This window comes from Homo sapiens, chromosome 3 (assembly GCF_000001405.40).
Source record: "Homo sapiens chromosome 3, GRCh38.p14 Primary Assembly".
Taxonomy (NCBI): domain Eukaryota; kingdom Metazoa; phylum Chordata; class Mammalia; order Primates; family Hominidae; genus Homo; species Homo sapiens.
Window position 1 is genome coordinate 166,948,541 of NC_000003.12, and position 26,593 is coordinate 166,975,133.

Here is a 26,593-nt window from a genome sequence, read left to right on the forward strand (position 1 = left end):
CCATGGAATAGTACACAGTACACAGCCATAAAAAATAGTAACTGTGTTCTTTGCAGCAACATGGATGAAGCTGTAGGTCAGTTTTCTTTTTTTCTTTTTTTTTTCTTTTGAGACAGAGTCTCTCTCTGTCACCCAGACTGGAGTGCAGTGGCGTGATATCAGCTCACTGCAAGCTCCACCTCCTGGGTTCATGCCATTCTCCTGCCTCAGCCTCCCGAGTAGCTGGGACTACAGGCGCCCACCACCACGCCCAGCTAATTTTTTTTTGTATTTTTAGTAGAGACAGGGTTTCACCGTGTTAGCCAGGATGATCTCAATCTCCTGACCTCGTGATCCACCCGCCTCGGCCTCCCGAAGTGCTGGGGTTACAAACATGAGCCACCGTGCCCGGCCAGCTGTAGGTCATTTTTCTAAGCAAACTGATGTAGAAACAAAAAACCAAATACCTCATGTTCTCTCTTATGAGTGGGATCTAAACATTGATTACACATGTTCAAATATTTCGATCCTTGTAAGTGGGATCTAAACATTGAGGGTGTAGAGTAGTGGGAGGGAGAGCATCAAAATACTACCTACCAGTTACTATGCTTATTACCAGGGTGATGTAATAATCTGTACACCATGCCTCTGTGATACATAATTTACCTATGTAACAAACCTGGACATGTATCCTTGAACTGAAAATAAACCCTAAAAATAATAATAAATGATAAAAATAATATTGAAACAAATATTTATCTGTATACAGTAGTCATCAGATAAATAATATGAAAATTTCAAGTTAAAAAAACATTTTAAAGGAAAACTATATAAATTTAGATTTCCACCAAGACTTATCAGAATGTATATTTATCAATCTACTTCCTTTTTGTTTACCATCCATCAAGTATTTCATTTTTTTATTTCAATTTTTTATTTTTGTACTTCAATAGGTTTTTGGGGAACAGATGGTGTTTGGTTACATGAACAAGTTCTTTAGTGGTAATTTCTCAGATTTTGGTGCACCCATCACTCGAGCATTGTGCATTGTACCCTATGTGTAGTCTTTGATCCCTCACCACCCTCCACCTTTTCCTCCAAGTTCTGAAAGTCCAATGTATTATTCTTAAGCCTTTGTATCCTCATAGCTTAGCTCACACATATGAGTAAGAACAAAAGTTGTTTGGTTTTCCATTTCTGAGTTATTTCACTTAGAATAACAGTCTCCAATTTAATCCAAGTTCTTTTTATGACTAACTAGTATTCCATTATATATATAGATTATATATATGCCATCCCTGCATCCCTGGTATGAAACAAACTTGATCATGGTGTATTATCTTTTTGATATATAATCTATACTATATATACACACACACACATACACACACACACACACACATACACATATATACATACCACGTTTTCTTTATCCACTCATCAATTGATGGGCATTTGGGTTGGTTCCATATTTTGCAATTGCAAATTGTGCTGCTGTAAACATGCATGTGCAAGTGTCTCTTTTGCATAATGAGTTCCATTTTTCTGGGTAGATACCTAGTAATGAGAGTGCTGGATCAAACGGTAGATCTACTTTTAGTTCTTTTAGTTCTTTAAGGAATCTCCACACTGATTTCCATAGTGGTTTTACTAGTTTACATTCCCACAAACAGTGTAAAAGTGTTCCCTTTTCACCACATCCACGACAACATCTATTTTTTTATTATTTATTTTATTATGGCAATTCTTCCAGGAGTGAGGTAGCATCACATTGTGGTTTTGATTTGCATTGCCCTGATAACGAGTGATGTTGAGCATTTTTCCGTATGCTTGTTGGCCGTTTGTATATCTTCTTTTTGAAATTGTTCATTCATGTCTTTAGCCCACTTTTTGATGGGATCATTTATTTTTTCTTGCTGATTTGTTTAAGTTCATTGTAGATTCTGGATATTAGCCCTTTGTTGAATGTGTAGATTGTGAAGATTTTTCTCACACTTTGTGGGTTGTCTGTTACCCCTGCTGATTATTTCTTTTGCTGTGCAGGAGCTTTTTAGTCACATCTATTTATCTTTGTATTTGTTTCACTTGCTTTTGGGTTCTTGGTCATGAAGTCTTTGCCTAAGCCAATGTCTAGAAGGGTTTTTCTGATGTTATCTTCTAAAATCTTTATGATTTCACATTTTAGGTTTAAGTCCTTGATTCAGCTTGAGTTGATTTTTGTATAAGGTGAGAGATGAGGATCCAGTTTCATTGTTCTACATGTGGCTTACCAATTATCCCAGGACCATTTGTTGAATAGGGTGTCCTTTCCCCACTTTATGTTTTGGTTTGTTTCGTCAAAGATCAGTTGGCTGTAAGTATTTGGCTTTATTTCTATTATTTACTATTGGTCTATATGCATATTTTTATACCAGTACCATGCTGTTTTGGTGACTATGGCCTTATAGTATAGTTTGAAGTCAGATAATGTGATGCCTCCAGATTTGTTCTTTTTGCTTAGTCTTGCTTTGACTATGCAGGCTCTTTTTTGATTCCATATTAATTTTAGGATTGCTTTTTCTAGTTCTGTGAAGAATGATGGTGGTATTTTGATGGGGATTGCATTGGATTTGTAGATTGCTTTTGGCAGTATGATCATTTTCACAATATTGATTCTATCCATCCATGAGTATGGGAACATGTTTCCATTTGTTTGTGTCATCTATGATTTCTTTCAGCATTGTTTTGTAGTTTTTCTTATAGAGTTATTTCACATCCTTGGTTAGGTATATTTCTAAGTATTTTATTTTTATGTGTGGCTATTGTGAAAGCAGTTGATTCGTTGATATGATTCTGAGCTTGATCATTGTTGGTGTATAACAGAGCTACTGATTTGTGTAAATTAACTTTGTATCCTGAAACCTTGCTGAATTTATTTACTAGTTTTAGGAGCTTTGAGGATGAGTTGTTAAGGTTTTCTAGATATACGATTATATCATCAGCAAACAGCAATCATTTGACTTCCTCTTTACCAGTTTGGATGCCTGCCCTTCATTTATTTGTCTTGTCTAATTGCTCTGGCAATGTCTTCCAGTACTATGTTGAATAGAAGTGGTGAAAGTGGGCATCCTTGTCTTTTTCCAGTTCTCAGAGCAAATGCTTTCAACTTTTCCCTGTTCAGTATGTTGGCTGTGGGTTTGTCATAGATGACTTTTATTACTTTAAGTTAGGTCCCTTCTATGCCAATTTTGCTGAGGGTTTTAACATAAAAGGATGCTGAATTTTGTCACATACTCTTTCCACATCTATTGAGATGATGATGTGATTTTTGCTTTTAATTCTGTTTATGTGATGTATAACATTTATTGACTTACATATGTTAAGCCATCTCTGCATCCCTGGTATGAAACAAACTTGATCATGGCATATTATCTTTTTGATATGCTATTGGATTTGGTTTGCTAGTATTTTGTTGAGGATTTTTGCATCTATATTCATGAAGGATATTGGTCTGTAGCTTTCTATTTCGTTATACCCTTCCCTGGTTTTGGTACTAGGATGATACTGGCTTCATAGAATGATTTAGAGACAATTCCCTCTTTCTCTGTCTTTTGGAATAGTGTCAATAGTATTAGTACCAATAATTCTTTGAATGTCTGATATAATTTAGCTGTGAGTCCATCTGTTCCTGGACTTTTTTGTTGGCAATTTTTTTATTACCATGTCAATCTTGCTTCTTGTTATTGGTCTGTTCAGAGATTCTATATCATCCTGGTTTAATCTAGGAGGGTTGCATATTTCTAGGAATTTATCCATCTTCTCTAGGGTATTTCTGTGGTATCAGTTGTAATATCTCCTGTTTTGTTTCTAATTGATCTTATTTGAATCTTCTCTCTTCTTTTATTGGCTATTCTTGCTAATGGTCTATCAATTTTATTTATCCTTTTAAATAATCAGCTTTTTGTTTTATTTACCTTTTGTATTTTTTTCTTTCAATTTTATTTAGTTCTGCTCTGATCTTCATCCTTTCTTTTTGTCTGTTGGGTTTGGGTTTGGATTGTTCTTGTTTCTCCATTTCTGTGAGGTGTGATGTTAGATTATCTATTTGTGATCTTTCAAACTTTTTGATGTAGGCAGTTAAAGATATGAACTTTCCTCTTAGTACCACTTTTGCTGTATTCCAGAGGTTTTGATAGGTTGTGTCACTATTATCATTCGGATTAAAGAATTTTTTGTATTCCAACTTAATTTCATTGTTGACCCAGTAATCATTCAGGAGCACGTTATTTATGTTTTATTTATTTGCCTGGTTTTGAGAGTTCCTGTTGGAGTTGATTTCCAATTTTATTCCACTGTCGTCTGAGAGAGTACTTGATATAATTTTGATTTTCTTAAATTTACTGAGTCTTTTTTTTTGCCTATGATATGGTCTGTCTTGGAAAATGTTCCATGTGCTGATAATAGAATGTATATTCTGCAGTTGTTGGGTAGAGTGTTCTGTAAAGATCTGTTAAGCCCATTTGTTGTAGAGTTAGGTTTAACTCCATTGTTTCCTTGTTGACTTTCTGTCTTGATAACCTCTCTAGTGCTGTCAGTGGAGTATTAAAATCTCCCACTACTATTGTCTATCTCAATTCTTAGGTCTAGTAGTAATTGTTTTATAACTTTGGGAGTTCCAATGTTCAGTGCATATATATCTAGAATTGTGATATTTTCCTATTGGGACGGTTCCTTTTATCATTATATAATGTCCCTCTTTGTCTTTTTTAACTGCTGTTGCTTTAAAGTTGGTTTTGTCTGATATAAGAATAGCTACCCCTGCTCACTTTTGAAGTCCATTTGCGTGGAAAATCTTTTTTCACCCCTTTACCTTAAGTTTATGTGAGTCTTTATGTGTTAGGTGAGTCTCCTGAAGACAAGAGAAACTTGCTTGGTGAATTTTTATTCATCTGACATTCTGTATCTTTTAAGTGGAGCATTTAGGCAATTTACACTCAATGTTAGTATTGAGATGTGAGATACTATTACATTCATCATGCTTTTTTATTGCCTGAATACCTCGTTGTTGTTGTTATTGTTGTTTTTAATTTTGTTATTGTTATATAGGTCCTGTGAGATTTATGCTTTAAGGAGGTTCTATTTTGGTGTAATTCTAGGATTTGTTTCAAGATTTAGAGCTCCTTTAGCAGTTCTTATAGTGCTGGATTGGTAGTGGCAAATTATCTCAGCATTTGTTTGTCTGGAAAAGACTATATTTTCTTCATTTGTGAAGCTCAGTTTCACTGGATACAAAATTCTTGGTTGATAATTGTTTTGTTTAAGGGGGCCAAAAATAGGATGCTAATCCCTTCGAGGTTGTAGGATTTCTGCTAAGAAATCTACAGAATTCCTGTGGTAGTTCTTGGAGCAAAAGTTTATGATACGAGTCTCCACACACTGCTCTGTCCAAATGGGAGCTGCAAGCTAGTCCTGCCTCCTGTCTGCCCTCTTAATACCATCCTCAATATACTTCCTAACACTAGCTGCAATTAATATTTCTATTGTTTTACCACATTAACATGGCATTTTATCTGTTTTCATTTGCATTTTTTTCAAATACAAGTAAAATAGAAAATTTCTCACTACTCTGTCGGTGTTCCCAAGACCACCCTGTGTGGTTCTTATTACTGTGTCAGGAGGCATTAAGATGTGTTAGAAGGACTCGTGGAACTCAGAAAAGTTTTTAGACTCTCGATTATGGTTTATTACAACAAAAGAATACAGATTGAAATCAGCAAATTTAAAAGGTGTATAGGGCAGAGTCCCAAGCTTCAGTTGTCTTATAGGTTTTCCTACATAGGTTACCTGATGCTTTTACCTCACAATTCTTAAGATTCTTTCCTTTGTCATGACTTTAGATAACCTGATGACTATTTGATTAGGTGATGGTCTTTTTGCAATGAATTCTCCTGGTGTTCTTTGAGCTTCTTGTATTTGGATGTGTAGATCTCTGGCAAGGCTGGGAAAGTTTTCCCCAACTATTCCCGCAGATATGTTTTTCAAACTTTTAGATTTCTCTTTTTCCTTGGGAATACCAATTCTTCTTAGGCTTGGACATTTAACATAGTCCAAAACCTCTTGGAGTCTTTGTTCATTTTTTAAAATTATATTTTCTTTGTCTTTTATGGATTGGATTAATTTGAAGGCCTTGCCTTTGAGCTCTGAAGTTCTTTCTTCTGCTTGTTTGCTGAGACTTTCCAATGCATTTTACATTTCTTTGAGTGTGTCCTTCATTTCAAGAAGGTGTGGTTGTTTTTTATTTATGCTATTTCACTGAAAAATTTTCCTTTCATATCCTGTATCATGTTTTTGATTTATTTAAGTTAAACTTTACCTTTCTCTGGTGCCTCCTGGTTAGCTTAATAATCAACTTCTCAATTCTTTTTCTGGGAATTTGGAGATTTCATCTCAGTTTGGATCCACTTCTGGTGAGCTAGTATGATCTTTTGGGGGTGTTAAAGAACCTTGTTTTGTCATATTACAAGAATTGTCTTTCTGGTTTCTTCTCATTTGGATAGAATATGTCAGAGGGAAGATCTGGAATTCAACGGCTGCTATTCAGATTCTTTTGTCTCGTGGGGTGATCCCTTGATGTGGTGTTCTTCCCCCTCCCCTAGGAATGGGGCTTTCTGAGTGCCAAACTGTATTGATTGTTTTTGCTCTTCTGTGTCTAGCCACCTAGAAGAGCTACTGGGCCCTGGGTTGGTACTGGGGAGTGTCTGCAAGGAGTCCTGTGATGTAATCCATCTTCAGGTCTTGCAGCCACGGATACCAGCATTGCTCTGGTGGTAGTAGCAGGGAGTGAAGTGAAGTCTGTGAGGTAGCAGGGAGTGAAGCGGAGTCTGTGGAGTTGTGTTTTTGTTTAGCGTCTTGGTTTTGTGTTCATTGGCCTCCAGCCAGGGGGTGGCACTTTCAAGAGCACATCAGCTGTGGTCCTACAGGGAGGATGCAAACTTGCCCTAAGGACACCTGGTTAACTGTTCAATTTTCTCAGGCAGTGGGCAGGGCCACAGAGCTCCAAAGAGATTATGACCTTTCTCTTCCACTACCATGGCTGGTAGAGAAAGACCACCAGGTGGGGGCAGGGATAGGTGTGTCCGAGCTCAGCCTCTCCTTGGTCAGGGCTTGCTGTGGTTGCTTTGGCGGATGGGGTGTGGTTCCCAGTCCAGTGGAATTATATTGCCAAGGGGATTATAGCTGCCTCTGCTGAGTCATACAAGTCACCAGGGAACTGAGGGAGATCTTGCAGTCACAGGCTTCACCCTGCTCCCACTCAACTCACAGTCCTAAAGGCCAGTCTCACTCTCACCATGCCCCACAAACAGCAATGAGTCTATTTCCAGGCAGCCGGTGACCAGGGCTGAGAACTTGCCCCAGACCGTGAGTCTCCCCATTGAGAAAGCAAGCAGACTCATAGTATTATGGCCTCTCAGGGAGCTTGTAGTGGTGATCCAGTTCCTTCAAAGGGTCTGTGAATTCCCTCGGCTTTCCTCTTATCTTCCTGTCGTGGTTCTTGGAGCAAAAGTTTATGATACGAGTCTCCACACACTGCTCTGTCCAAGTGGGAGCTGCAAGCTAGTCCTGCCTCCTGTCTGCCATCTCAATTCCATCCTCAATATACTTCCTAACACTGACTACAATTAATATTTCTATTGTTTTACCACAATAACATGGCATTTCATCTGTTTTCATTTGCATTTTTTCAAATACAAGTAAAATAGAAAATTTCTCACTACTCTGTCAGGTGTTCCCAAGACCACCCTGTGTGACTCTTATTACTGTGTCAGGAGTCATTAAGTTGTGTTAGAAGGACTCAGAACTCAGAAAAGTTTTTAGATTCTCAATTACGGTTTATCACAACAAAAGAATACACATTGAAATCAGCAAAGTTAAAAGATGTATAGGGCAGAGTCCAGGAGATACTAGGCCCAAGCTTCAGTTATCTTCTTCTAGTAAAGTTGTGTGAACAGCATTTAATTCTTTTACCAATGATGTGTGTCAATACATATGGAATATTTCCTAACAGAGAAGCTCACTTGAGCTTCATTCTCCAGGGTTTTTTTGTTTTGTTTTTTTTTTTTTTTGCAAACTGCCCACATAGGCATAGAGCAATCACATGGTTGGCTTTATTCTGTCTCCAACCCCTCCAGAAGTCAAACTGATGCATTATGACCCAAATACTCTCTCAAGTTTCATTGTTAGCATAAGTTATCTGCTATGGCCAAAGGAACTTAGACATATGAATACAGTCTTACCTGGAAGAATAGTCCAAAGACGTAGAGATTTTCTCCCAGGAGCCAATGAGGAGAGAACTTTTTTTCGAAATGTGTGGGATTTGAATATCCCAGACCTGTTGAGTTAACTCTTTCCTGAACAAGCCACCTCCCTGGTCCTGGACCTGACCAGATGACAAAACTTGATTTAGCTTTATCTTAAAATTGAAACATTTTTCTATAATTTATTAAAATACTCCTTAACCTAGTATTTTTTGCTGTATCTATCAACCAAAAAAAAAACACTGAAAATATATAAACATAAAAAGTTAAGTGATTCAAACTGATAAAGGTTATAGTTGGAAAGTAATTGAACCTATAAATCTTATGCTTTTCCCTGCCTAAAAGCTGCCTATATTAATGAGCTTTGGGAATTTTTTATGCTTGAAAAAATGCCCCTCCAGTTGGCATGAATCTACGTTTTGATCTCCCCAACAAAGACGTGTGCCAGAGACCTCAGAACGCAAGCTGTGGACCAAAGCAGCTGTGGGCACTGGCAGCTAATGCAGTGGGAAGATTATGGAAATTCTGATCCAACAGGGTTCTTGCTCTGCCCAGCATGCACCTGGGGTATCCTAAACCCAGAGGAAATAGCAGTGCCAAGACCCATTAAGATCATGCAGCAGCTGGGGAATCAGGCCATCAGGCCAGTGACTTCCACTGGGGACCCCAGGCTGACCAGGTTTAGATGGTTATATAGGCCAGAGTCTGTGCAAGAGCACTCTACTAAGGGGAAAAGATGAGAATGAATTCTAGCCTGAATCCCACTTGCCAAATCTTAAGTTCTGGCATATGGTGTGCTATCTGTTTGGAGGAACGTTCATCTTTTTCTGATATTCACAAAGTTACTATGTGCTAATGATGGCACATCCCAGTAAATGTGGCATCTTCTTAGTCTTCTTCAAGTTAACTAGGAGAGTAAGATCATCTCCCTCTTCTTCATAGCATCATTGTTGAAGACACCAGAGGTTGAAACCAAACTACACGTGTGAACTAGAAAGTAAACTAATGCTAAATTGATGCTAAAAGCAGTAGCAGAATTTTGGTATTTGCCCTCAGTGAAATCATCATTGCACGCAATACTTTTGAATATCTGCTAATGTCCTAATGCCCATGAGCACATTAAGAAAGGGCCAAAAAATTATCAGGATTCTGAGGAAATGTCACATTTACTGCCAAATTAACAAAGGTCTTAGTGTAAACATAAAGAAGTCAGTTTGTGTTGCAAAAGGTTTGGAATCTAATCCAATATTCATGAATTTATTGGTGGAGTTCTGTCAATGTGGGATGAAATATTAACAATGTTCAAAAGTAGCAAATCATTTTGTGTATCCCTTTTGTTGTCTTTTAAAGTGGTCATTATGTTGATATTAGATACTAATTTCTATAGATATGTAAAACTTTCTGATCATACTTATCCTGCCCCATGCACAATAATTATTTTTCCTTTTAGCAGCTTATTTCCACAAGGACTAAGTCTTGCATTTCATTTTGTTTTCTTCAAAGACAATTAAACTACTTCGAAACTCATGCTAGCAGGAATATTTTTGAAGCCCAATTATATTATAGTTATTTTAATTTTGGTGATCTTATGACATAAATTTATGATTTTGTGATATAGCATAAAACATTTTCTGCATTATTTTACATTTTGAATGATTTCAATCGCATCACAGGTTTTGTTAAACTTTAAAATTAAATTTACCTATATTCTCATTTAATAATTATCAAGAAAAATTGTACGGTTCTGTAAGTAACTTATAACCTACTTAAAATATTTGAAGTGATTTACAAGTTACAGCAAATGCCAAGTAGAGTAATTATGGTGAAAATATAGAAAAAAATACTACAATGTGCCAAGGACTGTGCTGAGTGTTTTCCATTTTCTGTATTCTTTAATTCTCATAATAATATTGTGCTTTGAACATTATTATCTCCATTTTACAGAGTGGAAACTAGGGCTCAAGGAATTTAAACGATGCATTCAGGATCATGTGACCAGAATGTGCTGGAAACAAGGCCCACATGCAGTTCTCTAACTCTAATGCCTACTCCCTGAGCCACTGCATTATGCTGCCTCAGAAACCATCGTAAAACAGCATTTTTAAATCCCTTTACCCATAACATAGCATTTGTATATTCTTTTACTATGATTTGAAATTTTAAACTACAATTAGTTTCCTGATTAATGTAAAATAAAAATTAGCATTTCTCAAATCATAGTCCATAGGCCACCTACAACAAAATTGTCTAAAATCATAGTCCATAAGTCACCCACAACAAAATTATCTAAAATTATCAAAAGTCGAGCGACTAGGGTTCTACTGCAGAGGTACTAAATATATTTCTCCATTTCTTGTGGGAGAGTGGAGTTAGGGAGAAAGAGTGTGGAGAGTAGGTATGTGACTTTTTAAAAAGCTTCTCCAGATGACTTTTTTAGATGCCAAATTCTGAGAAACACTGTTTGTTTGTAAATGATAGTCTAACAGAGAACCCTGAAGAAATGCCACTGCCATGTATCTTTTCAATAAAATTCAGCAAGGACTGCATGCAACAACAGTACTTCTAATTTTGTCAGGTTCTATATTTCTATGTTGATATATTCCAATCCCATATCATCACAAATTGTTAAAGGTTATCAACATTGTGACTTTGATTTTACTGTGTGCTATTTATTTCTTGCTAGTATGAGAGTAATATCTAATCTTTTTACACTATTTCTCTTTTCTCTTAAAATGTTTTGTGAATAAATAGTTCCACTGAAATTCTTCAAGTTTATTTATGCTATCTCTGAAAATATTCACATTTATTTCTTATCTCTTTTCCTCAGAATATTAGTCATGAATAATTCTGCATTTTAATTTTTTCATTTAGCCACTGACTTAATCTAAAATGGATTTTATATCACATAGCCTTAAGAATCATCATTATTATTGAGATTATAGGCCTCCTTAAAAAGAATTAAGTGAACACTAGTAAGCCATAATAATATTTCATTATTGTTAGCAGAGTATTAGTATAAATAACTGAATATCACAGGGTAAAGTAATAGGTAATATTTTTAGCTGTATGTTTTCAAACACACACACATACATACACATATTTACACAGAAAGTCAAAGTCAAAATATTGGTTACAGAATCCTGATCAGATTTGTGTTGCATCACTGACTATGCAGAAACAGCCACTCAGCATCCAGCTTCACAACTTTCCCTACAGAAAAGCAAGCATCATGCCCTACTTGCTATTTTAATACCCACGGGGAAACACAATCTAATCAGGCTTAGGCAGCTTTGGCCAAGTTATCCAAAATGAGGGCATAACATTAATTCATAATTCAGTGAAGGTGTATCTGTAGGGGGCAGACATAACACAATCCATTACTTTGCTTTGTGATGATCCAGTTTGATATAATGCTAGAATTTGGATCTAAGAAAATTAAAAAGCAGTGAGTCCTTCTCCCTCGTTTCTCAAATATCAGATGCTTTAGGTAAACTGTTGATAAATTCCAGCTTACCTCAAATTCTGATTTAATTTTTCGAGTCTTTATGCTGTAGTATTTATATTTTCGAAACAATGTGCATAGATATTAAATAATAGTGTAGACTATAGGTATATTGAGATAACTTAGTAGTCAGCCTGTTTGAGACTAAGCATGCTCAGAAAGTTGTATCTGAAGGTTTATTAAACCTGGTGAGGTTATTGATAATGTAATAATAGAACCACAAACATAAATTCAAAAAGGTTAGCATTTCTGAATCTTTATACTTGATTTCATAGCTTGATACATCGCTGTACATTTACTCTGATCTGTGTCCAAGAATACCTTCAGTGTTCAAAGAAATATTATTATTTTCCACTGTTAAATTATTTAACAGTTCAAAGAAATATTATAATTTTCCACATGTCATTAGCCCATAGAACATTTCTTCCTGGAGAAAGCCTCCAAGGAGGAGAGAAACAACCTGAGTAATATGAAGAGGTTCCAAAATAAGAGCTTAGCAAACTGGAGTTCAAAGACTTTACTGTGGCTTCTCCTATAACACAGAGTTCAAAGTAGCCATACCTGGGACTCAGGAACATAATTTTTTGACTATGTTCCTCCTCCTTGAATCTTTCTTCCTCTAGTATAGCATGGCTACATCCTCTCTCCTATGTGACGATTTTCTCCTGTCTTTCAAATCTAGTACTGGGATGTCTTTGATCATCTCAAGTGTGATGTAGTATCACTTACCCTTTCTGTGCTGCAGTCTGTTTATTGGGTTTACTCTTCTTAGTATCTCTTGTCTTGTCCTCCAAATTCCATCTTTTTTGTCTGAAACAAATCTCACATTAAGCTCTTTGTTCAAGGCAACTGGCAGATTTTACAAAACCTGAAGTTCATGCAATTAGCAAAGAAACAGTAGACTATGCAGGGTAAATGTGGACTACTACTCCTAATATAAGAAGGTCTAAGAACCCTGTAGGTCATTATCAAACTGCCAGGTTTCAACAAAATAATCAATAATTGCCAAATAAAAACACATTGAACCAAAAATGCGAGTGAGAGGGAAGCAGATTAGAGATCCCTGTCTTTAAAGTAATAAACATTAGAGAGAATTAACTGATTGATGAACTATTAACATCTTTCATTCATTTAAATACTGTTAAGTAAGAACTTGGTGAAGGGTGACAGAGAAAAAATGTGGGTCTTGTAGATTGGTTAATTTGCTTGTTTAAAACTTCAGCGTATCCAAGAAAATCAGTTTGACTTTAACAAAGGTGAAAAAGTATCAGAAGATACTCTTCAGCTAAACAGTAGCAATTAAGAAACTTTCTTCACAGGAAGTGAAACAAAAAAGAATCATTAGTTTTAGATATAGTGTTTCTATTTTTATGAGATTAATGGATACCCAGTTTATTTTCTTGTCTTAAAATTTCTTTTGAAAATGAGCTAAAAATCAACCCAATTATTTTTGACGGTCCTGATATAAGAACAAATACACAGAGTTGTTTGATCTTGGTTTCTAGGGAGCTGGGATCAAAATCGTACCCACCCCTTAGCAAACCATATTCTTTCTTGGACAAATCAATAAACTTATGTCATTGTTTGTGAAAAAGGAATGAAGATAATATGTTTTAATTTAATGGGAAGGGATATAGCATAATATCTGTATATAATTGGAAGCTCAGTAAATAGCTTTTGAAACTGGTCATATAATCTGTTGAGGCATTCCCTTCAAGTCCTAGCTTGGTTTTACATGGAATAAAACAAAAATATTTCTTTTATTTTAAATAATCTTGCCATATTATTCTTCACCTTGAGTAAGCATCTAAAGAGATTGAAGAACCACCGCAGATGATGTTTGACAATAAGTTACATTATGGATCATGCTATGGTTACAGTAGGATAATTTTTAATTTACAGAGATTATATATACAGTAATGTCTTTGTTTCATTAAATAATTCTGATAAAGCTGCATAGATCTAAATATGAGGGTATTATCTCAGTTGTGATTGTCAATAGTTTTATTATTACCTCTTTCTTTTCTCCACAAATTAGAAAAACCTCAAGAATAGTGCACAAAAGTGCAGATGCCACACTGTGTTTAAACCTTGGCCCTGCTGCATAATTGCTGTGGGACTTTTTGCCTTCACCAACTTCTCTGTGTTTTCACAGATAATGATAGTATATTCCTCAAAAGACTGATGAAATGATTTAACTTTACTAATGATTAACACATATTCAAAAACATTCCTGGCCTGGCATATTAGCACAGAAATATTAGATATATAAATTGAGCATTATTACATTTCACAGTCAATATTTGTTTCAGTTAACCATTTTAAAAAATATCTTCAAACTCTACCTTCTTTCACCTCTGATCTTCGATTTGGGATAATTTCCCTTAAAGACTTTCAAATCTTTAAATAGAATATATTACGGGTAAACTCTCTGGGTTTATTTTTTTTGGCTAAAAACTAACTTTACCTTCCTTTATAATATGCAATGCTTCTGGATGCAGAACTAAAGTTTATATTTTCTGACAACATAAATGATATTATCCTAAGGTCTCAGGGCTTCTATTTTTACTGTTAAGAAGTTCATTGTCAATCTAATTGCTTTACTTTGGAGATTCTCTCTTTTTATCTTCTCCACCCACCCCTATTATACACATACAATCACTTTTTCTTTCTTAAATTCTTTTGTTTTAATTTTTAGGTTTCAGTACCATGCATCTAGGTGTGAATTATGTAACTAACGTACTTTGATGTTTACTCTGCTTGGAGCCCAGTGAGTTTCCAAGGTTTGAAGATCAATGGCTTTTACCAACTCTTGAAAATCAATAGCCATGGTCTCTTCAAGTCCTGAACTCTCATTTTTTTTTCTTTCGTTTTGTTTTCTCTTGCTAGAAAGTTTGGTAGTTTTTGTTTTCCAAGTATCTTAGCTTTTTAAAATATTTTCTATTTTTTAGTTATTTAAACTTTAGTCAGAATAATTTCTTTAGACATTTCTTCCACATCACTATTTTTCTATTGCACTATATATAATCTGCCACCTAACCTTTTTAAGTTATAAATTCTTACTAGTGAAGAAAGTAGTTTTTAATGAACACATAATAATTGTACATATTTATGAGGCACAATGTAATGCTTTAATATGTGTGCATATTTTGCAATGATCAAATTAGAATAATCAGCATATCCATCATCTTAAAGAGTTATAATTTCTTTGTGATTAGAACACACAAAACCCTCTCTTTTAGCTATTTTTTTATATATCATACCTAATTTTTGGTTGTAGTTACACTACTGTGCCATAGGACACTAGAAATTATTTTTCCTTTCTGATTGTAACTTTGTATCCATTGACCATCCTCTTTTCATCTTCGTCTCCCTCCTACTTTCCCCAGTCTCTGATAACCACTGATTTATTCACTACTTCTGTGAGACAATTTTTTTTAGATTTCACATGAGAACATACTCCGCTTGTGTTTCTGTGTCTGGCTTATCTCACTTAACATCCTCAAGATTCATCGATGTTATTGCAAATGACAGGATTACAGTCTTCCTCATGGCTAAATAGAATTCCATTTTGTGTATATATATCACATTTTATTTATCCATTTAACCATTGTTGAATATATAGATTGATTCCATAACTTTCTCTGTGAATTGGGCTGCAATAAACATGGGAGTGAAAATATCTCTTTGACATACTCATTTCATTTCCTTCAGATACATACTCAGCAGTGGAATTGTTAAATCATATGACAGTTCTATTTTTAATTTTTCAGAAAACTTTATACTGTTTTCCATCATGGCTGTACTAATTTACAGTCCCACCAACAGTGGTAATGATCTCCTTTCCTCTACATCTTCACCCAAACTTGTTACCTTTTGTCTTTTTGATAATAGCTATTCTAAGTGGAGTCAGGTGATATCTCATTGTGGTTTTGATTTGTATTACTGTTATGATTAGTGATCTTGACCACTTTTTCATAAAGGTCTTTAGTCTGTGTTTTAAGCACATTACTTTTTGTTGTTGATTTGTTTGAGCTCCTTATATATTACAGATATTAAAACTTTTTCAAATGTATATAGCATATAAATGTTTCATCTATTCTGTAGATCACCTCTTCACTCTGTTGATTGTTTTCTTCTTTGTGCAGAAGTTTTTCAGTTCGATGTAATCTCATTTGTCTGTTACTGCTTTTGTTGCCTATATTTTTGAGGTCTTATCCAAAAGATCTTGGCCAGTCCAATGTTATAAACCATTTTCCTTATGTTTTCTTCTAGTAGGTCCATAGCTTTGGCTTTTACATTTAAGCTTTTAATTCATTTTGGGTTGATTTTTGTATCTGGTAAAAGATAGGGGTACAGTTTCATTTTTCCACTTGTGGATATCCAGTTAACCCAGGACCATTTATTAAAGAGACTATTCTTTCCCCAGTGTGTGTTCTTAGAACCTTTTTTGAAATCAGTTGGCCACTATTGTGTAGACTTATTTCTGGGCTCTCTCTTGTGTTCCATTAGTGTCTGCTTTTATGCCAATACAAGGTTGTTTTTGGTTATTACAGATTTGTAGTATGTTCTGAAGTCAGGTAATGTGATGTCTCCAGTTTTTTTTTATTATTTTTCAAAATGTCTTTGACTATTTGGTTATTTTGTTATTCTATATAAATTTTAGAATATTTGTTCTATTTCTGGGGAAAATGTCATTGGTATTTTAATAGAGAATGCATTGAATCTTTAGACTAATTCAGGTACTATGAACATTTGTAGAATATTAAAGCTTCTAATCCATGAACATGGGATATATTTTCATTTATTGTTTCCTCTTCAATGTATTTCATCAATGATTTATTGTTTTAGTGTAGAGATCTTTCACCTCCTTCATTAAATTTATTTTTGAGCATGTTATATATTTTGTAGGTATTGTAAATTAGATTGTTTACTTGATTTCCTTTTCAGATATTTTACTATTACCATATAAAACCACTGTGATTTTTCTATGCTGATTTCATATTCTGCATCTTTATTGGATTCATATGTCATTTTTAACAGAGTTCCCGTGATTTTTTTCCTTCTATATATAGACCATGTCATCTGCAAATAGAAACAATTTGAGTTCCTCCTTTCCAATTCGGATGCCTTTTATTTTTTTCTCTTGCCTAATTTCTCTGGCCAGAACTTCCAGAGCTTTGTTGAATACAAGTGAGAAAATGGGGCATCATTAAATTGTTTCAGTTCCTAGAAAAAAAAAAAAAAGGTTTTAACTTTTTTCTTTTTCCTCAGGACATTAGATGTGGTACTTGTTTTGTGTTGCCTGTACGGTGTTGAAGTACATACCTTCTATACCTAATTTGTTGAGAGTTTTCATTAGAATAAATGTTAGGTGTTTGGTAGAATTTATCGGTGAAGCCATCAAGTCCTATGCTTTTCTTTTGATGGGAGTTGTTCTTTATCTATTTAGTACTTATTCAACTTTCCCATTTTTGATGATTTAGGCTTTCTATTTCTTCACAAGTCATTTTTGGTAGGTTGGATATGTCCAGGAATTTATCCATTTCTTCAAGATTATCCAATTTTTTCACATATAATTTTTCATAATAGTCTTTAATGATCCTTTGTGTTTCTGTGGTATTGGCTGTATTGTCTCCTTTTTCATTTTTTACTTTTTTGAGTTATCTCTCTCTTTAGCTAGTCTAGCTTAAGATTTGTCAATTTTGTTTACTTTTATAAAATAAACTTTATTGATACTTTACATTTTGTTATTTTGTTATGCTCTTATATTTATATTCCTTCTACTATTTTTGATTTCAGTTTGATCTCGTTTTTCTGGTTCCTTGACATGCAGTGTTAGGTTGTTTATTAGAGATCTTTCTACTTTCTTGATGTAGGCGTTTATTGCTGTAAACTTTCCTCTTAGAACTTCTTTGCTGCATTCAAAAAGTTTTGTTCTGCTGTGTTTCAAATTTTTTTTTAATTTCTCAGCAAATATTTAAGTTTCTCTTAATTTCTTCTTGACCCATTAGCTATTTAGGAGCATGTTGTTTAGTTTTCAGGTATTTGAAAGTTTCCAAAGTTCCTCTTCTTATTGATTTCTAGTTTTATACCATTGTGATCCTAAAATGTACTTGATATGATTTCTGGGTTTTTAAATTCATGAAGATTTGTTTTTTTGTCACAATAAGTAATTTGTCCTAGAAAATGTACAATATGCAGTTGAAAAGAATATGTATTCTTCAGTTGCTGGATAAGATATTCTGTAAATGTTTGGCAAGTCCTTTTGCTCTAGAGTGTAGTGTATATTCAATATTTCTTTGTTGCTTTTCTTTATGGATAATCCATTGTTGAAAATTGAGGTGTTGAAGTCCCCTACTGTTTTTGTAAAGTCTGTCTCTCCTTTTATACTTAATAATACCTTCTGTATGTATTTGGATGCTTTCTTAGGGACATATACATTCATAATTGTTATATCCTCATGGTGAATTGGATTTTTATTATTATATAATGACCTTTTTTGTCACTTTTTACAGTTTTTGGCACAAAGTTTATTTTATCTGGTGTAAGTATAGCTACTCTTGATTGCTTTTGGTTTTCATTTTCATGGAATATCTTTCTTAAACCCTTCATTTCTTATCTATGTACATCTTTACAGGTGAAGTGAATCTCTTGTAGCCAACAAATATTTAAGTCTTTTTTAAAAATTCATTTAGCCACTCTGTTTGTTTAGTCTATTTACATTCAAGGTTATTATTGATAGGTGAGGGCTTATTCCTGCCATTTTGTTAATTGACTTTCTGATTGTTTTGTAGATCCTTTGTTTCTTTCTTCCTCTCTTGTTGTTTAGCTTTGTGGTGTGATGCTTTTCTGTGGTGCTAAGCTTTGTTTTATTTGTTTTTGTCTTTGGGTACTTGTTGAAGCTCCTTTTATTGTGGTTTTTATGGGAATAACATTAAAATTTTGTAGTTATAATAGACTAAGCTAATAACTTTAATCAAACAAAAATATTCTCGAGTTTTACTCTTCCTCTCACAATTTAAATTATATTGATTTAATTGACATCTTCGTATATTGTGCATTCCTCACCAACTAATTATAGCTGTAGTTATTTCTTACCATTTTTACTTTTAACTATTACACTACAGATTTGAAAGTTTTACTTAGCACCATTACAGTATTGAAGTATTCACAGTTTGATTACAAGTTTACCCCTACAAGTGAGTTTTATACCTTCATCTGTTTTAATGATTGTATTACTATTAGATTGCTTTCAGTAGTAGCACTCCCCTAAGCATTTCTTCCGAGGCCAGTCTAGTGGTGATGAATTTCCTTAGCTTTTACTTGGAAAATATTTTATTCCTCCTTCAATTCTGAAGAATAGTATTGTTGGGTATAGAATTTTTGTTATTGAGTTTTTCTTTTTTTTTTTTCTTTTCCTCTTATCACTTTGAATTTATCACCCTATTCTTTCCTGACAGTTTGGTTATAACATGCCTAAAAGAGGACCTTTTAGCATTGAGTCTATTTGGGGACATGTGAGTTTCCTGAATCTGAATGTTTGTCTGTCTCTTAAGATTTGGCATTTTAAAATTTTTATTTATTTATTTATTTATTTATTTATTTATTTATTTATTTATTTTTGAGACAGAGTCTCGCTCTGTCACCAGGCTGGAGTGCAGTGATGCAATCTCGGCTCACTGCAACCTCCGACTCCCTGATTCAAGCGATTCTCCTGCCTCAGCCTCCGGAGTAGCTTGGATTACAGATACGCGCCACCACGCTTAGCTAATTTTTTGTATTTTTAATAGAGATGGGGTTTCACCGTGTTAGCCAGGATGGTCTCAATCTCTTGACCTCATGATCTGCCCACCTTGTCCTCCCAAAGAAGTGCTGGGATTACAGGCATAAGCCACTGCACTCGGCCACATTTTTTGTTATTATTTTGACAGATAGGTTTTCTGTGCCTTCATCTTCAGTCTCTCCTCCCTTTGGGATTCCCACAATGTTATGATTTTGTGTGTGTGTGTGTGTGCAATGGCATCCCATAAGTCCCATAAACCTCTTTCAATTTTTTTATTATTATTTATTTTTTTCCTTCTGACTGGGTTATCTCAAAATACCTACCTTCAGGTTTAAATATATATATTTTTGTATTCTGCTCATTCTAGTCTGTTGTTAAAACCCTCAATTTTATTTCTATTTAATTTGCTGAATTCTCCAGTTCCAAATTTCTGTTTTGGTTTGTTTTTGTAATATCTACCTTTTCACTGAATTTCTCATTCAGCATAAATTGTTTTTCTGACTTTATTGAATTATATATTTGTTTTCTGTTATATCTTATGGAATTTTCTTAAGATCATTATTTTGAATTTATTTTCAGGCATCTTATACATTTTCTTTTCTTTGGGGTCTGTTACTGGATAATTATTAAGTTCCTTTGGAGGTGTCATGTTTCTTTGCTTTTTCATGTTTCTTGTGTCTCTTTATAGATATCTGTGCATCTGGTGGAAGAGTCACTTCTTCTAATTTTATGAAGTAGCTTTCATAGGAAAAGGCTTATTCCTGTAGATGGGTTCCAGGATGTTAGTTGGGTGAAGCGGATTGGGCTTTGGTTCTGGATGGATGTAGTAGTGTAGTCTCTGTGCAGTTTCTTCAGCTGTAATCCATATCAGCAATTTTTCAGAGTGTTTAAGTAGATGAGGCTGTATGAGTTTGTGGCAGTAGTGCTGCTGCTTTGTCAGGAACAAGCTTGTTGGGCTGACTCTCAGGTTGGTAGCACATTTCTGCACATGGTAAGTCAGCAGGTTCATGGACTCGCTTGGCTAGAGTGAGGTTGTTGGTTTTTTTTTTTTTTCAGGTCAGTAGCATAAACACAGGCTGTCAGCAGGTCTGGCTCACTGGGACTGAGTTCACCACAATGTTTTGCTGGTTGAGATCATGGACACACAATGAGTGGTTCAGTGGCTCAAGGACGGGCCTGCTAGGTGTAAGTCCACCAGGCTGTTTCTTTCGCTGGGGATGTTGGGCGGGCTTGCTGGGGGAGTTTCTACCAGGTTATTTCTCCCTCCAGGGACATGAGTGTGCTGTGGTTCAGCTAGCTTGCGGGTGAACTCAGTGGGAAAGTTCTGTCAGGCTATTTCTCAGGCCAGGGACATAGGCATATGGCATTGTGCTTAGGAGCTATGCAAGTCACAGCTGTTTTGGGGCTCAGGCTCCAAGCGGCTAGTGTCATGCCTTGTGGCCACCTGTGTTAGTAAGGTAAAATGAAGGTGGAGTTTAAAGATGGACAGAGGCAGTGGCTACTGGCCCACAGAGCAGAGTGTGCTCCAGCAGCAACTCCGGTTTCAAGATGGTGCCATGCTGTATTAGCTTGCGTCGTAAGAGTGGAGAGTGCACAGCATGAGCTCCTACCCTGGAGCAATGCCACCGTGTGAATTCCAGGCAGTTCCCCAAACTGCATTTAGGGACTTTAAGGGCCGCATAATTCTCCTGTAGCAAGAACTGCCAAGTGCCTACAGTGGTAATTGAGGATATTGGGGGCCTCCTGCCTACTTTTTTCCTGCAAAGGAAAGTCCTTTCAGGCTCCAGGTTGATCCTGGCAAGGGAGATAGTGGAGAAGAGTCAGGGTGCTTTGCTCTTCTCTCTATGCTGTCATTCTGGGTTTGTGTGTTCCACAGGTTTTACTACTCACTTGCTGCACTCCAGCTCTCTCCTTCAAACTCTCTACTCAAACTTGTCTATTTGTTGCTTTGGTTCTTTTCATTTGTTTAGCAGGTCACCTGCAGATACTTCGATCCTCCTTCTTTAGGTCCAAAGTAAATATAAAAAATTCATTTTCTAATAATTTTTTTCAATGAGGTTTTAAAATCCTGTAGGTACTCTTAATTCAGAAAAAAAAATCCCTAGGTGGATCAGATTGTAATTTCAAATTATTATGGATAATATTCATCTATTCAGTACCTTATGTTATATATTAAATAGTTAAATGATGAGGTCTACATTTTAATGTAGGGACTTTTTACTATACTTCACCTTTGATGAGTCCTAGAGTTTATGATCTGTTATCCATGAAGCCATCAGAGTGGATCCCGAGAAGTGAAGTGGATCTCTAGTACAGGACAATGAAGTTGAACTCAGAAAATGGAAGAAGATTCCAGGAAAAAAAGTAGATTTTGGAGATCACTTTCCTCATTTTCATTCACTTACCTACTTTCCCAACAAATGTGTCTCTGCAGATTCCTTATTACCATAACAGTTCAGCAATGCCTTTTTATGTTTCACTTAACACATTTATTTCTTCTCATTGGGGAAGATCATTCCCGGTATCTAGTCAGCCATATTGAAAAAGACATTAGCTGATATTTATTTATTTATAAGAAAAATGTCACTTGAAACTCTCCTTCATCCCAGGATTTCTGTCTGTCTAAAAACTGTTTCTGTCCTACCTTAGAATGTAGTTCTAAAGGTTAATAGTGTAGTTTTATTTTGGAGTGGCCAACTTAATTGACATGGCCAGGGAGATCTCTGAAGAACTAAGAAAGGGCAAAATCATTTTATTATTTATGTTAGTGGAGGCACGTATAGACTATTCTCCCAACTATTTCCTATTTATATTTCTACCTCCTCATCCATATAAAATAAAAATCATAAAATTAAAATTTAAAAGAAGTAATTAAATGATGTACAAGTTACCACCATGAACTGAGGTAAAAAGGCTAGAGTTTATTAGGATAAACACAAGTAAATAAAACTGATACTTTGGCCATTGTTTGGGAAGGGAGCTGGTTGTGATTTCACAAAAAATCAAGGCTAGTATTTCTAAGGCTGCATGAACAGGAAGCCATAAACTCAAACTTTGGTGAAAAAAAAATTCTTTAAGTCTTGGTACCTAAAGAAACTTTAATCAGTACATGTTGGTTCAATTGGATTTTGAGCATGATTAAAAAACAGACACTCTGGGCCCTATTCATATTCCAGAGCTCATTGTGTTTTCCATTTGATTTAATCTGATGAGAGACTATGCTTGGCCAGCTGCAAACAGCATGTTAAGAATTATTTTCAACTTAGTTGATAAGGTACATTTTGGGGGTGGGGAAAAGAGATACTTAGGCTGAGCTTACATGAGATTTATCACCTGCTAAGCTCCACGGTATAAAATAACACCCTGAGCAAAACACTGACTTTTTTTTTCTTCACCAATTTTATGCCTATCATCCCTCACAAACATTTAAAACTCACCTCATTCAAGTAATCCTATATTTGGTCTTTTCTTTTTCTTCTAGATTCATTGTAGAAAAATAGAGTATTATTCAGTTTTCTTTTCTTTTTCTTTTCTTTTCTTTTTTTTCCCCTGAGATGGAGTCTTTCTCTGTCTCCCAGGCTGGAGTGCAGTGGCATGATCTTGGATCACTGCAACCTCTGCCTCCCGGGTTGAAGCAATTCTCCTGCCTCAGCCACCTGAGTAGCTGGGATTACAGGCACCTGCCACCACGCCTGGCTAATTCTTGTATTCTTAGTGGAAACAGGATTTCTCCATGTTGACCAGGCTGGTCTCGAACTCTTGACTTCAGGTGATCCCCCCGCCTCGGCCTCCCAAATTGTTGGGATTACAGGTGTGAGCCACCACGCCCAGCCCTATTCAGTTTCCAGTCATGTCTTCTCAGACAGTCTTCATATGTTTATGGTCTTAGCTCTAACTTAACTTTAACTTTTCTGAAAATAGACAAAAAATAATTATGCATGTCTTGTCTATCTATTTATGATGTCTGATATCATGCATTCCATAAATGTTGTTGACCAATAACATAAATATGACTCAAATTCATATCTTGTTTTTATTACATCAATGTTTAAATGTCCATATAAAACTTTAAAAATTAACATAATGTAGATAATTAAGGTTGGAAAGTGCATCTTCCAAAGCACATTATACTTTCCAAGTAAACCCTTAGACATGTAAATTCTAATTAAAATGAGAAAAAACTGTTTCTTCAAGGCTTTGAAATTTTTAATTAATCTTTGTATTTAAAAACTATTAATAATCACTTTATGCAATTATTTTTAACAGTATTTTCAAATTAGGCAATTAAAATAATTTAATGAACCAATTTAAATTATGTTTAGCATAAGTGGTCTAAAGTAATGTCTAAAACAATGTTATTATGCATAGTGATAAATTAATAATCATAAATATTTCTAAAATCTGTTATGTGTGGGAAATTATAAACAGACCTGGAGCAAAGGCTGTGGGATATAGAGGGATGATAAAGCTAGATAGATGGGGCAGTTGATTGATGAAGATCTATGCATGCAATGAATTCCTAAGATGTTTCAGCAGCTTGTGTTCATTGATGGCCTCTTATATGTTAGAAATTTTACTAATGTAAATATGCAAGAGATGTAGGCTTAAATATTAAGAAAGGGAATATCTTGGTCCACAGGCTGCTACAACAAACTACTATAAGCTGAGTATCTTATAAATAACAAAATTTACTTATCATAGTTTTGGAGGCTGAGAAATCCAAAAATAAGGCAAATTTGGTATCAAGTTTTGGTACCTGTTTTCTTGTTCATAGGTAGTACCTTCTCACTGTGTCTCATATGATGCAAGGAGCTAGCTAGCTCTCTGCAGTCTCTTTTATAAGAGCTCTAATCCCAATCATGAGGACTTTGCCCTCATGACAGGACCTCCCAAAAGCCCCTACTTTCTAATAACATCACTTTAGTGGTTAGGATTGTAACATATTAATTTGGGGAGCCTTAATATTTATACCACAGCATGAAATGACTTAATTAGTTTTAAAATATTTATCTAGAAACCATTTTAAGAATTATTTAAAAGTAATTGTGGAATAGAGAAAGATTGACATTAGATAAAAGTAATTAGCCTATTATAATATTTTTATTTAAAGGATAAATTAGTCAGTAGCTGATAGAATTGTATAAGTGCCTTAGGTTTAAAAAGCATTCCAGAAATAGAATGGATAGTGCTGGTTGACTGATTTCAGATGGGCAAAATGATTAGACTAAGATTGATTTCTTAGTGCTAACAGCAAGAATTATGACACAATAACATATTTTTTCAACCTACCAAAAAGAAGTTGACAAGCTTCCAATACATAAAAGGAGTAGACTGTTGATGAGTTGTGATAGATTTGAAGTTTTCTATTTTTTATCAATAAAATTCTATTTTTCAAGTAAAACCTAGTGGGTAAAATAGATAAAACAGTATTTTATTAAAATAATTTTCTTATATGCATTCAAATTTGCTTAAAAAACAAGAATTTACATTTTTTACTAAGAAACCTGTCAAATACTAAAATGAAAATTCATTAGCTATAATTGAGAGATGACCAGATACAATAAAGCAAAGTATCAGCAAACTTAAATGTTGGCCAATAGTATTTTCTCAAGTCAAAATTAAAAAAAAACAAAAAATAAATAATAAAAAAAGCAGATCCTAGATTACCTCTGGGATTGTATTAAGCTTCCTGATATATGTATAACTGGAGTCCTAGAAGAAAATGAAAATAAGAAAAGGGCAGTCAAAATACAAACAATACAGTAGTCAAAGTTTTTCATACTGTAAATAGATAGATAATATTCGCAGATTTTGGAAACTCACCAGAATACAAGCAAGATAAATAGAGAGGAAACCATTCCTAAGAGAAGAGAAAAACCAAACTGCTAAACCATAAAGCTATGGAGACAATGTTAAAATTAGCCAGAGAAAAAAGATACATAATACACAGGAAAACAGCTATAGAGGGTAGAACTGAAGATAGTAGGACATCTTTAGTGTTCAAAAAATAAGAAATAAAAACACAGAATTTTTATCTTTAAAAAGTGTTTTGTTCAAAAGTAAAGAAACTTCCTGATAAATAAAAACAATGAACATGTGCTGCTCAAGAAAAATACTAGAAAATATGTGATAGATATTCAAATATAAAGAAAAAAAGTTATAACATGCAAACACCACACCTAAGAAAGCTGATGTAGCTATGCTAATATGAGGAAGGCAGACCTTAAGGTGAGTTGTATTGCCAGAGTTAAAAATGGGTAATTTCATAATGATAAAAAATGCAATTCATCATGAAGAAATCAATTCTAAATTTTTATACACCTAATAATAGAAGCTTAGAATACAAAAAACCAAAAGGAACAAAAATAAAAGGGAGAAATAGACAAATATATAATTATAGTTAAAAATGTTAACACTCCACGTCAGTAATTTATAAAATGAGTGTCCTCAATTCAGTAAATGTTTAAAAGACTTGAAAATCACTATGAACCAACTTAATTAATATTTATTAAACATTTCACCCAACAACTACAGAATAAACATTTTTTTCAAGTTCATAGGGAGTGTTCACAAAGCCAAGCTCCATGCTGGGGCGTAAAATAAGTCACAATAAATGTCATGTGATTAAATCATATAGAGCACGTTTTCCAACCACAAAAATATTTAATTACAAATATAAAGAAATGCATGTAAATAAATTCCAAATGCTTAAAATTGTTATAAAAGTAATAATACACTTAAAAAATAGTACTTATGAGTCAAGAAAGACATCACAAAGGAAATTTTTAATATTGTTTAAATAAAATAATAAAAATGCAATATAACATAATTTGTTATATTTCATATATATTATATATTATAAATATACATATATTAAATATACATATATATTAAAAATATGTAGCTGTTATAGAAATTAAATTTATAATTTAAAATACCCTTACACAGATAATTTCAGGCCCAGTTTTCCCCAATGAAAAATGATATCAAACAAACAAATAAGGAACAAAGGAATATTCCTCATTTGATTTT

At 34.4% G+C, this 26,593-nt stretch overlaps 1 long non-coding RNA gene across 3 annotated transcripts in view; it reads right to left on the reverse strand.

Annotated features, from left to right (window-relative positions):
• LOC105374193 (uncharacterized) overlaps positions 1-26,179 on the reverse strand; it is a 75,141-nt gene extending 48,962 nt beyond the window's left edge. For 2 of the 3 annotated variants that reach the window (XR_924674.3, XR_007096289.1), the window contains exons 1-5: positions 25,229-25,655; positions 24,851-24,963; positions 22,999-23,472; positions 12,505-12,585; positions 8,253-8,395 (exon numbers count right to left, since the gene is read on the reverse strand). This is a non-coding gene — a long non-coding RNA (uncharacterized LOC105374193). Of the gene's footprint in view, positions 1-8,252; positions 8,396-12,504; positions 12,586-22,998; positions 23,473-24,850; positions 24,964-25,228 lie in introns of all 3 variants that reach the window. The other variant, XR_924675.3, reaches the window with a different exon arrangement.
• Between the last annotated feature and the right edge of the window lie 414 nt (positions 26,180-26,593).